At 44.8% G+C, this 13306-nt stretch overlaps 1 pseudogene, besides 1 other annotated feature; it reads left to right on the top strand.

The window, feature by feature from the left end:
• Nucleotides 1-1989: 1989 nt before the first annotated feature.
• On the top strand, nucleotides 1990-3851 carry ST13P6 (ST13, Hsp70 interacting protein pseudogene 6; annotated as a pseudogene).
• Nucleotides 2172-2723: an enhancer, noted in NCBI's record as "H3K27ac-H3K4me1 hESC enhancer chr8:134420089-134420640 (GRCh37/hg19 assembly coordinates)". NCBI's record gives its function as "activates a minimal SCP1, AML or CMV promoter by ChIP-STARR-seq in primed H9 embryonic stem cells {active_cell/tissue: H9 hESC(primed)}" and the evidence as "EXISTENCE:reporter gene assay evidence [ECO:0000049][PMID:30033119]".

Genomic DNA, 13306 nt, shown 5'->3' on the forward strand with positions numbered 1-13306 from the left:
GGACCCAGAGGTGAGAAAGTAGTTTGATAAACTGAAAGAAGTTATTGTGGCAGACGTGACATGGACCCTGGGTGAGGCTGACAGGTGGGCTGGGTGGGCTGGGGGAGACCTTCCTATACCCACTGGAACAGCAGGAGCCCCTGATCCAGGATTCACTTCTATCTGGTGACCTGTCCCATAGAGGGGCAGACCCTACCTATCTTCCCAGATCAAAACATGCTTTTGAGGGAGACACAATGAACTCCTTCATGCTAAGGCACAAAGGGTCATGGGGACAATCAGAGTTGACCTCTTCAGAGGTGCAGGCTTTTTCAGACCAGGACTCTGAGAAGACTCCACTTACAGGACAATCTCCTGAACCCTCTCCCATCCCCTCTCTCCAATGCGTAAGGATGCTGGATTCAGAGAAGGGATACGACTTGCCAAAGTCGCACAGTGAGTTAGTAGCAGAGTCAAGACCCAAGCCACGAGACTCCTACAGGTATCCTGCGCTGTTTCTAGCCAACAGCCCCTGCACGCAGTTCTCCCAGTCCAAAAGCTCTCATTCTACAAACGAGCAAGCTGGGGCTGCCGGCTCAACATTGCTTTGTTGGTTTGGGAACAAAACAATAAAAACAATGTGTTGTGTAGACTCTTGTTTTGCTCACAAGCTGAGATCTCTTGGGGCAGAGTTCTTTCTGGGCCCCTCTGAGTCATTAAACTTCAGGCCATCGCAAGCCAGAGAAAAGAGATGTTTTCTGGGTCTGGAGTAGAATGAGGGTGTCTTCCTCCAGCCCCCCAGATCCAGTCCTTGGTTCATGCTCCTTGATCCCAAGGCCACTTCTGTTCTGAGAGTCATTTCAGGAGGCAGGCTATGCGGGCTCTGAGGTCTGGAAGAATCAACTTTGTGTCCTGGGATCCCCTCTTCCCTGCTGTGTGACCTCAGGTGGGTTGCTTAACTTCTCTGCAGTCTCTGGTACTCCCAGCTCAGGGATGCACTGAAGAGAAGACACACCCTGCCTGGAGTCAGGAGCAGCACAGTCCTCCATGCAAGCCAGTTTCCTCCATTCCACTTCAAACTCAAGGCGGTCCTTTCCTAGTGGTACAAACAGGAACTGAGCAGGCTGGAATGGCTGTTTGAAAGAACTTTCTGGCCAAGAGGGTGTGTCTACACAACTTGGTTCTCTGCCCCCAGGGATCTGGGAAAAGTTCCAGGCCTGAGCAAGTTTATCAAATTCCTTTCTTTACCCACCCAGCCTTGAATTTCATGGAAAACAAAATAGAGAAGAAAAAAACAAAGTAGCCTAACATTTGCTTTAGTTAGTGCATGGATTTTAAAGTCTCTCGAAGCTGGGTTTCTGCACTTCGCTGTCTCCTTACTGGGTCTCCTGGGTAAGATATTTCAGTCCCTCTGAGCTCAGTTTCCCCATTTCCTGCACGTAAAATGGGTTCAGTGATGAAGCTCCTGCTCTGTGTTAAAGGGCGAGTGAGCCATGCCCGAGAGCGTGCAGCACAGCTCTTGGTATGACGTCAGTGGTCACGGTATGACAGAACTGGTTGTTGTTGCCGTGGACAGCCTTTTTCACACTCTGCCACAGTGTCTCCTGCAACAGTTCTTGGCTCTAGCCCTATTTCTGTGTTCATCCAGAAAGTTCTCTTTCTTCTCCACACGATTGCTCAGCTGCTCACTTGCTGGTCTCTCTGGGCCACAACTTTCTCCCCTGAACAAGCAGAGGCTTAGTGACCTCTGAGGGGTTGTTCAGCTGTGACATCCTCAGAGCCAGCGTGGCCTTTGCATATTTTCAGAAAGCTATAACGTCCTTCTCCTCATACGTTAACCTCCTCTTCTCCAACCCAAATGGAGGCAGCGCATGTTTTGGCTCTTCAGTATCCATTCCCCCTAGAGTCTGACAAGAATTTTGTTTAGAGGGTCCGGGCATTGAGCTCTGCTCAGTGCATGCAGCCACACAATATGCTTTTGGACGTGGCTTCCTAGAGGGGATGTTATCTCCCACCTCCTTGAAGGCGCCCATTTCTGGGGTTGCCCCATCCAGGGAGCTGGTTCCTAGTTAAGAATATGAGAATGTATGCAAAGGGAGGCAGGCAACAGCACGAACAGCCACGCTTCTAGAAGATTCTAGGGAGCGCACAGGAGCAGCGCAGAGGGAGTAGGAATGAGCAGGCGGAGGACTCGGGGTCACGAGACCGTTGGGTGGGAGGAGCCAGCAGCCAGGGAGGTTCTAGTCTGTTCTGCCTCGCGGCAGCCGCCCTCTTCTGCGTGGTCATGCCAAGCCAGCACCTGGGCCTGGAACCGGGCCGCAGCCCCCCAGCTTCGCCCACCGCCTCCCTACCATGGACCCCTGCAAAGTGAACGAGCTTCGGGCCTTTGTGAAAATGTGTAAGCAGGATCCGAGCATTCTGCACACCGAGGAAATGCGCTTCCTGAGGGAGTGGGTGGAGAGCATGGGAGGTAAAGTACCACCTGCTACTCAGAAAGCTAAATCAGAAGAAAATACCGAGGAAGAAAAACCTGATAGTAAGAAGGTGGAGGAAGACTTAAAGGCAGACGAACCATCAAGTGAGGAAAGTGATCTAGAAATTGATAAAGAAGGTGTGATTGAACCAGACACTGATGCTCCTCAAGAAATGGGAGATGAAAATGCGGAGATAACGGAGGAGATGATGGATCAGGCAAATGATAAAAAAGTGGCTGCTATTGAAGCCCTAAATGATGGTGAACTCCAGAAAGCCATTGAGTTATTGACAGACGCCATCAAGCTGAATCCTCGCTTGGCCATTTTGTATGCCAAGAGGGCCAGTGTTTTCGTCAAATTACAGAAGCCAAATGCTGCCACCCAAGACTGTGACAGAGCCATTGAAATAAATCCTGATTCAGCTCAGCCTCACAAGTGGCGGGGGAAAGCACACAGACTTCTAGGCCACTGGGGAGAAGCAGACCATGATCTTGCCCTTGCCTGTAAATTGGATTATGATGAAGATGCTAGTGCAATGCTGAAAGAAGTTCAACATAGGGCACAGAAAATTGCAGAACATCGGAGAAAGTATGAGCGAAAACATGAAGAGCGAGAGATCAAAGAAAGAGTAGAACGAGTTAAGAAGGCTCGAAAAGAGCATGAGAGAGCCCAGAGGGAGGAAGAAGCCAGACGACAGTCAGGAGCTCAGTATGGCTCTTTTCCAGGTGGCTTTCCTGGGGGAATGCCTGGTAATTTTCCCAGAGGAATGCCTGGAATGGGAGGGGGCATGTCTGGAATGGCTGGAATGCCTGGATTCAATGAAATTCTTAGTGATCCAGAGGTTCTTGCAGCCATGCAGGATCCAGAAGTTATGGTGGCCTTCCAGGATGTGGCTCAGAACCCAGCAAATGTGTCAAAATACCAGAGCAACCCAAAGGTTATGAATCTCATCAGTAAATTGTCAGCCAAATTTGGAGGTCAAGTGTAATGCCCTTCTGATAAATAAAGCCCTTGCTGAAGGAAAAGCAACCTAGATCACCTTATGGATGTCACAATAATACAAACCAATGTACCTTCTCATCAAGAGAGCTGGGGTGCTTTAAGATAATCCCTACCCCTCTCCCCCAAATACAGCTGAAGCATTTTACAGTTTGCCATTAGGTTTGCCATTAGGGTATTCATTCAGATAATGTTTTACTACTAGGAATTACAAACTTTAAACACTTTTTAAAACAAATGTAAAGGGTCTGTTAATTCTTATATTTTTCTTTACTAATCATTTTGGATTTTTTTTCTTTGAATTATTGGGCAGGGAATATACTTATGTATGGAAGATTACTGCTCTAATTTGAGTGAAAGTTATTAGCGTGAGGCAAACATAACTCATTTGAGGATAAAAAAAAGAAGAATTTTGTTTAAAGAGTTATTCTCCCTCACTTGTGGGCCAGTTTGGTGGGATATAAGTCAGGATGGGATACACACCCCTGGATGAGCTGTCGGTGTTTGGCCAAAGCCAGGCCCTTTACACTATCTTACCAGACTTTGAATCTCTGGCAGAAATATATGAGATGGAGGAATGAACAGAGGTCATTTGTTCCAGTGATTGGCCCCATGGTCATCTGAATACAGCCCCCAAAGATATCCATGTTTCTAATCCCTGGAACCTGTAAATATGTTACTTTACATGGCAAAAAGCCGGGCGCGGTGGTTCATGCCTGTAATCCCAGCACTTTGGGAGACTGAGGTGGGTGGATCATGAGGTCAGGTGTTTGGGACCAGCCTGACCAACATGGTGAAACCCTGTCTCTACCAAAAATACAAAAATTAGTCAGGCGTGGTGGTCCACACCTGTAATCCCAGCTATTCAGGAGGTTGAAGCGGGAGAATCACTTGAACCTCGGAGGCAGAGGTTGTAGTGAGCCAAGATCATGCCACTGTGCTACAGCCTGGGTGACAGAGCGAGACTCCATCTCAAAAAAAAAATAAATAAATAAAAATAAATAAACAGCAAAAAATTTTTGCAGATGTTATTAGGTTAAGATTTGAGGTGATGTATTAGTCCATTTGGGCTGCTATAACAAAATACCTGATACCAGGTAACTGATAAACAGCATAAATGTATTTCTCACAGTTCTGGAGGCTGGAAAGTCCAAGATCAAGGCTCCAGCACATTCAGTGTCTGGAGAGGGTCTGCTTTCTGATTCATAGATGGCAACTTCTAGCTGTCTCCTCACATGGTGTAAGGAGCAAACAGGTTGCTCAAGCCTCTTTTATGAATCCCATCCATGAAGATGGAGCCCTCATGATCTAATCACCTCCCAGAGGCTGCACCTCTTACTACCACCACTGTACGGAGTAGGTTTCAACACATGGGTTTTGGGGGAACAAAATCATTCAGACTATAGCAGTTGAGGAAATTATATGGATTGACCTGGTAGACTAATATAATTACAAGGGTCCTTAGGAGAGGGAGGCAGGAGGATCACAGTCAGAACTAGAAGAAGGTGATGTGATGATGGAAGCAAGGGCGAAAAGGGCATTTGATATGGGGGCCATGAGCCAAAGAATGTGGCAACCTCTAGAAGCTGGAAAAGGCAGAAAATAGATTCTCCCGTGGAGCCCTCAAAAGGAAAGCAAACCTGCTGACAACTGGATTTTAGACTTCAGACCTGAAGAATTATCGGTGAACAAATTTGTGTTACTTCAAGCCACCAAATTTGCAGTAATTATTACAACAGCAAGGGGAATCTAATGTAGGCCCTGATGAGACATCGGCACTGAAGCCCTGGAGCTCCTGATTCCAGCCTTTTCCTGAGCCTGCCTGTCCGGCCTTCTCTTTGATTCTGCAAGATTCCTGATATTGCATTTTGCCCATGCTCCACTGAAGAGCTGCTCTACTGTACTTTCCCCAGCGGAGCATGTTCTCCACCCTGTGTGGTGCTGTTTGCTCCACATGGTTGCTCCTTTGGTTGTTTATTTCACATTTAGGTTGGCAGTTCTGACTCATAATAGCTGATAAGGCATGTGTTGATGATGTTTGTTTGGACTTGTTGCAAACACTCAGAGGAAGAATATTATGCTGGATGTAACAAATGCAAGTTTTCAGGTTCCTTAAGCTGCCTTTAAGAAAATGTTAGAGAAGGCCGGGCGCGGTGGCTCACGCCTGTAATCCCAGCACTTTGGGAGGCCGAGGCGGGTGGATCACGAGGTCAGGAGATCGAGACCATCCTGGCTAACAAGGTGAAACCCCGTCTCTACTAAAAATACAAAAAATTAGCCGGGCGCGGTGGCAGGCGCCTGTAGTCCCAGCTACTCGGGAGGCTGAGGCAGGAGAATGGCGTGAACCCGGGAAGCAGAGCTTGCAGTGAGCCGAGATTGCGCCACTGCAGTCCGCAGTCCGGCCTGGGCGACAGAGCGAGACTCCGTCTCAAAAAAAAAAAAAAAAAAAAAAAAAAAAGAAAATGTTAGAGAAAATACAGGAGAAAGATGAGCAGAGCCTGGAATCCTCCTGAGAAAGTTGGCCACAGTTGTATGCATCATGGTAGTTCATAGATCATAGAGGCCACCCCATTTATGACTTCAGGGTTGGAAGAGAGCAGAACGTGTGTGATACAGAGAGCTCATGCAAAGACCGCTCCCTTTAGCTTTGATTTTGTTACTGCTTTCATTTCCACGAAAGCATTCTTAGTGCTAATGGTCTGAGCCTTCAGTTATTTATTTAACTCAGATATCTCTGGAAATCATGTTTTCCTGTCTTCACCCATCACCATCTTCATTTTGTTGTTGTTGTTCTGTTGTTGTTGAGGCAGTCTTGCTCTGTCACCCAGGATGGAGTGCAGTAGTGCAATTACAGCTCACTAGAGCCTCCACCTCCTAGTCTCAAGTGATCCTCCCACCTCAGCCTCCTGAGTAGCTAGGACTACAGGCATGTGCCACCATGCCTGGCTAATTTTAATTTTTTTTTTTTGTAGAGATGGGGTCTTCCTATGTTGCCTAGGCTGGTATCAAACTCCTGGGCTCAAGCAATCCTCCCACTTCAGCCTCCCAAAGTGCTAGGAATACAACAGGCATGAGCCACCACACCCAGCCACCATCTTTACATTTTACCTGTACCCTTCTCTGTTGGCCTCCAGACTCTTCTCCTCTGGAACAGGAGTGATCTAAAAAGCTAGGCTGCTGAACATTAACTCTCCCCTGCTTTACATTCATGAAAGCTTTCTATTGATCTCAGGCTAAACGTTCAGCCTTTAAGCATGACTGACCAGGCCTTCCCAGCTCCATCCATGCCCTTTCCCACAATGGGCCCATGACATCCCCTCTTATTCCAGCCACGTGAGATGTCTCTAGCTCCTGATCCACTTTGGATTTCCTGTCCTCCAACCCTTTCCTCTGCCCACCATGCCAAGCCCATGAAGATGATAGAGAGCAATGGTTACATGGGCACGCGTTAATGGTCATAATCCCAGTTCTTCCATCTCCTAGCAGTGTGGTCTTGGACACATGACTTAACCTCACTGGGCCTTTGTTTCATCATTGCTCTGATGAGGAAAATAATATACCTCCTTCTTAAGGGCAGGGGTAAGTTTAAATGAATTTTTATAGGTAGGTCTTAGAACAGTGCCTGGTATGTGTTATATGATATTCTAGTTGCTATCTCATTTCTTTAGCTAAGAAAATATTTTCCGGTATTTCAAAACTCCATTCAAATGTTAATTCTTCCATGGAAACTTCTTTGAATTCTGCTATTTCACCTTCTGTTCTGCCAATGTTTGCTTCATATATCTAGAATCGCTCATGTTTGGTACACAAATATTTATAATTGTTATGTCTTACTGCTGAATTGACCCCATTATCACTATATAATGTCTTTCTTTTTTTCTCCTGTGTCAATATTTGATTTAATGTCTGTTTTGTCTGATATTAGTAAACTATCCCTACTCTCTTTGGGTTACAATTTGCATAAAATATATTTCTCTATCCTTTTACTTTCAGCCTATGTGTGTCCTTAAGAGCTTAAGTGAGTCTCTTATAGGCAGCATATTATTAGATCCTATTCTAAAAATATCTGTTCGGTCCATCTATGTCTTTTGGTTAGGGAGTTTAATCTATGTGGAACCTTCTTTAACCATCCCTTTCACTGTGAGAGCTCTTGGTGCCCTCAGAGCCTGCACATCTCCCAGCATGGCACTTGAGCTACTAGACTGTTGTATTTGTTTAATCTCAATATTTCATTTAAGTCTGTGGCTCTTTGAGAACAGGAATTTTGCCATTTCTCCAGCCACTTAGTATAGTGCCTGGCATTTAGCAGCCACTCCATGCATTTTATTAAACAAACACTATAGATGAGAATAATAGTAGCTAATATTTATTGAACACTTGGACTAGGTGCAGTGTGCAGCTCTTTACTTACATTATTTATTTCAATTCTTACCACAAACTTACAAAATAGAGACTATGATTATCTCTATTTTACACATAAGGAAACTCAAGTTCAAAGGAGTAAAGGGAATTTTGAAATTTACCCAAATGGAAAATAGCAGACCAGGATTCAAGTCCAGGTCAGCCAATTCCAAGACTGAGTTTTTAACCCACCTCACCTTTGCATCAGTTAGCATTAGGGGTTGCTGCATGTAACAGAAAACCCCAAGTTGTAGTTTCCTAGACAGGAGGAAAGTTATTTCTCTCTTATGCAAATGAAGCCCAGAGGAATGCAGCCCAGGCTGGCCTGGCCACACAGCAGTTTCACCAGGAGCCCAAGTTTCTGTTTTCTGTGTGCCTCCCTCAGTATATAGCTTCTGTCTTCGAGGTGTCATGGCCCAAGATGGCCTATATAGCTTATATAGCTCCAGTGAAACATGTATTAAGCACTGTTCTAAGCCCTACTGATAACATCCACATTCCACATCAACGACAGGGTGGGGCAGGTGAGAAGGGGCACTCTTTCCCTTCAAGGTAAATTGCTGGAAGTTTTATGCACAATTTTTATTGCTGTATAAGAAATTACCAAAACCTAACAACTTAACATGCCTGTATTACATCAGGTTCTGTGAGTTAGGAGTCTAGGCATGGCCTAGCTGGGCTCTCTACTTCAGGTTCTCATGAAGCTGAAATCCAGGTGACTTTGGCTGTGTTCTCATCAGAGGCTCAACTGGGGAAGCGCCTAGCATAATAATAGACTAGTAAGAAATCCACTCCTTTAAAACAGCAAGGATGCAAGCTTTTGCCTATCATACTAAGTTTACATTTATGTATGCCTGCTGCATTAGCACATCTCAACACACCTATTCTGTCTTTGGCATCCTTAATTTTTGTAGAGGCTGTCTCATCAGTTATAGTCAATATTTTTCTGGGCAATAACACAAAAACCAGGATGTTTCTTCAGTATATTCTTCTTCACAGACTTGTTCTGGCATCAGGTTTTTATTGGAAATGGCCTTGGCAAACTCATCAATTAATTTCTCTGTTGCTTCATCATCAGCAGATGCTTTATCATTACAAATCATTAAAAATTTAATGTCATGTCTTTTCTCCAAATTCTGCAACCATTTTGTTGAATTATCACAGTTTCCTTCGATTTGCAGTTCACTGGGATTGATGTTTGCTTGTTTCACGATCACCATACTATTAAGTGGCATGTGTTCACTGCAATGCTGAGAGATCCACTTTTTTCAAAACATAACTGAGACCTTCATTTTCAGCTTGATGCTAAAAATTTAGTGTTTTTCTATTTTTTTAATGTATGTTCATCATTTTCAGCATAGAACTTTAATGACTTATCATCTTGTTTCTTCAGGTTCTATATGGTGGACATTACAACACTACAGTCTTCTATAAGACGTTTCACACTTACACCATTGTCTAGTTTCTCCAACAGCTTTGACTTTCTGTGCTATAAGCATAAATGCTTTCTCTTTTTCTTATCATTCTTATCCATAGGGGTATCTGGAGGCCTTGTTGACATTTTCATCAATGTCTTTACACTACAGAGCAGAAAATAAGCAAATAAACCATGAGTAATGCATGATGGTCTTGGCCCCATGTGGTGCATCATGGAGAATCTGCTGCTGGTGCCTCCAGCCTGCACACATGTCAGGTAATTATCCTTTGTGTGCTTGCTTTCATGAGAAAATCTGGGCATACTCAGAAAAGATACATCATGGCTAAACAGGGCTGGGAGGATCTTTTTTCCCTTGGGGACACTGAAGAAACTATGTGTTGTGTGCCTGAGTTTTGACTGTGACCCATCATATGAGGTCAAGTGTAGCATTTTTTAATTTGTGGCATCATATTGACACTCAAAATGTTTTGGATTTTGGAGCATTTCCAATTTTGGATTTTCAGGTTAGGGATGTTCAACCTGTATAACAGCAACAACAAAGATGCATTAGGTTAAAAAAATAGGGCAGAGAACTGTATGTACAAAATGACCTCAATCATGTAAAACATATGTGCAATAAAAATAATATGAAAGATAAATTACAAAAATAATTACAATGTTTATATTTGGCTGATGAGATTCCAGGTGCATTTTCTTCCTTCTTTGCATATTTTTATGTTTCCTATATTTTACCTAATTGGCAAGGATTACTTCTAGTGTCATAAAAATGGAGGAGAAAGACAGACATCCACTTGCACTGACGGGGAACTGCATGAGTGGGACATGGTTGCAGTGGCAGCTGGCTTCAGGGCTCCCTCTGTCAAGCTGAAAAATGAGCATTCCTCCCAGAAAACCATCACCTAGCAAGGGGGGAGGGTCTCTGAGCCCATTAGGCTAGAGTTACTCTTCCCATTGCATCCAAAATGATCAGAAGTGGAAGAGTTGTTTTGAGGCTGGGACAGGATGATATGCAATCCATCAGGGCCCATATGATGCTCACCCATAGGCAACAGCAACCTAGGAAAAATTCTCTGCATCCTGCCTGCAGCTGATGCTGTCAATGTCCTGTCTAGATGCCCTCAGCGGCCTGTTGCTTCCTTCCCAAAGCACCTGCATGTATGTCTGAGCAGAAGCTTGCTCGTCCTGTGCAGAGAGCAGACCAGAGGAGCCCTGGAGTCCAGGAGCAGCCCGTAGACAATGACAGATAGGATTTGGTGGATACACGTCCAGCTCTTTCACCCACCAGTGCTGAGTCAAGCTCTCTGCTGTCTCCCAGAGACACCCAATAGGACTGAGCCATGGTGCTCACAGTTGTGACTGCTCGTTGGTGCATTCTGCATCGGCGTTCTCTTCCCTGCCTCACTTTCTTGCTCCTGGTGCTTCCTGAGATCATTTCCTGAGTAAACTATGGCCACATATCCCTGTGTTAGAGTCTGATTCTTGGGTAGCTCAACCTAAGATTTCACACCTCTCGCTGGCTCTGCTGCAGCCTCGTAAACATTCTTAGCTCCTCATATATCTTACCCCAGGGACACAGGAAAGGCAACTGTCAGCATAGGACATAGAGGTGGAGAGAACGCCAGAAATAGGCTAATGATGAACACTGAGTTCATTCAAATGTTGAAGTAGTTCAAAACAAACGTGAGACTCATGGCTCGGAAACAGACTGCAAGTAATTTTAAAAATCACTAATAAAAAGTACAATAACTAGGTGATGGAAACAGAGGAATATTATAAACATAGGTAGGGGCACAGGCTTTCTCATTTTACGTAGTGCGAACTTAATGCCACTGCTTGACATTGGAGCATGTAGCCAAAATCAAGAAAAGAAAAAAGAAATGCAACCTCAATGTTTTTCCTATTGACATATATTTTTAGTAGAAAAAATATTCAGAAAATAGCATCTTTTGCTGTACAAATTTTTATCAAGTTCCGCATTCTCTTGAATTTCATTGATATTTCCTTTTCTTCATTTTAATTTAAAATTTGAAGGGATACTCTAGTGATCTAGAGTATCTCATTTTTGTCAAAGTACTTCTATTATTAATTCAACGCCTATGTATTCGGCACCTCCTCTGTGCCGTGTGCTGTTCTAGATGCTGGAGATGCCTCAGGGAAGAAGGCAGACAGCCGTTCTCTCTCCAGGCGCTCTTGCTGTGGGGTCTCCGGGGTAGGAAAGACTTGCGGTCCATTCATAAACTGTATGCGATGATGTTTACCAAATAACAACAGTTTTTCTTCTGGGTGGTGGGATTTTGGATGACCTTTTACGATCTCTTTCTTCTTTACAGTATTGCTTGAACTTAAAAGAAAAATCATACATAAGTTTCACAAAAACACCAGCCGGGCATGGTGGCTCACGCCCAGCACTTTGGGAGGCCGAGGTGGGTGGATCACTTGAGGTCAGGAGTTCAACAGCAGCCTGGCCAACATGGTGAAACCCTCTCTCTACTAAAAACACAAAAATTAGCCAGGCAGGGTGCCGCACACCTGTAGTTCCAGCTACCCGGGAGGCTGAGGCAGGAGAATCACTTGAGCTTGGGAGGTGGAGGTTGCCGTGAGCCCAGATTGCACTGCTGCACGTCAGCCTGGGTGACAAAGTGAGACTCTGTCTCAAAAAAAAAAAAATAAAAAAATAAAAAAAAACCACAAAACTGCCTTTTTGTTTGTTTGTTTGACAATCCTTGGTCTCCAGATTTTCAAAGACCTCAGCCTGACACACAAGGCACTGGTGTCTGGGAACTGATGAGAGGATGTCAGCCGCTTGTCCCAGCACACAGCTGCGGGCCCCCTATGTTGCTGGAATAGAGCCATAGAGGCAGGGCCCAGTGTGTTCCCCAGTGTTTCCCTCCCTGAGAGAGCCCCCTTCCTTCTGGAGATGCCTCTCCTGCATTCCTCACTGACTCGTAAAGTGTCCCCCTGCCCCTCCCCTTGGCCAGGTACCCACCACATCAATGTCTTTCTGTATCTGGAACCCTTAATGCTCACTGCTGGTTTCAGCCTGTCTGCTTCCTTGCAGTGTCTCGCTTGCCTAGAGAGGGCAGATTGACCATGACATTTGCATAAGAAGGACACGTGGACTGGGTGGTCCAGAGAAGCCCAATCCTCCAGCACTGGGGTGGTCTGTGGTCTCTTGAGCAATGGGGTTGTGGAGAGGGCCCAGCTTTAGTCAGAGGGGCTTCTATCTGGTCCCAGGCTTGCCTAACCTCCCCACATCTTGGGGCTCCTGTTCTGAGGACTGTGAGGGCTGAAACTGAACTTTAAAGTTACCCTTGTTTTGAGTTATGACCTGGCTAATGTCATCCCTGTCATTTTTTATTTAAAAAGACTCTGGAGATCACACCTGACATGGTTTGGATATTTGTCCCTGCCCAAATCTCATGTTGAACCATAATCCCTAATATTGGAGGTGGAGCCTGATGGAAGGTATTTGGATCATGGGGGCAGATCCCTCATGAATGGCAACAATCCCATCTCTACCATCTCTTGGTAATGAAGAGATTCTCTTGTTTATGACTTTGGATATTGAGGTTCTATTTCCCATTCTGTTACCTATTAGTTGTGTGGTCCTTGAAAAACTAATTGATCTAAATGGGTCACAGTTTTGCTTTTTGAGAAATTATAATCCTGCCATCCTATTTCACAGGCTTTATATTACAATCGAAGATTGTAATATACTACAAGATGTGAGTTCTTAAGAAAAGCCTGCAATGTAATTCCCAGTTCCATGTGATCTTCCTAAAAAGTCTATTCAGACACGGAGTCTTTTTTTCCCAGGGCCTTGGCATCTGGGTCAGTCTTTGTGATTGCTTCAGTGAATGAGATGTGGCAGGAGGGATGCAGCATGACTTTGGAGGCCAGGGTAGCAAAGAGGATGTAGTCTCACCTTCTCTTCCCCAATTAAGGTGACAAGATCTTGAACTTTCAGGCTGACACTGTTGCCACAAAGAGAAGAGACTCTAGACAGTATCTAGTT

The sequence above is a fragment of the Homo sapiens genome, chromosome 8, assembly GCF_000001405.40.
Source record: "Homo sapiens chromosome 8, GRCh38.p14 Primary Assembly".
Lineage (NCBI taxonomy): Eukaryota > Metazoa > Chordata > Mammalia > Primates > Hominidae > Homo > Homo sapiens.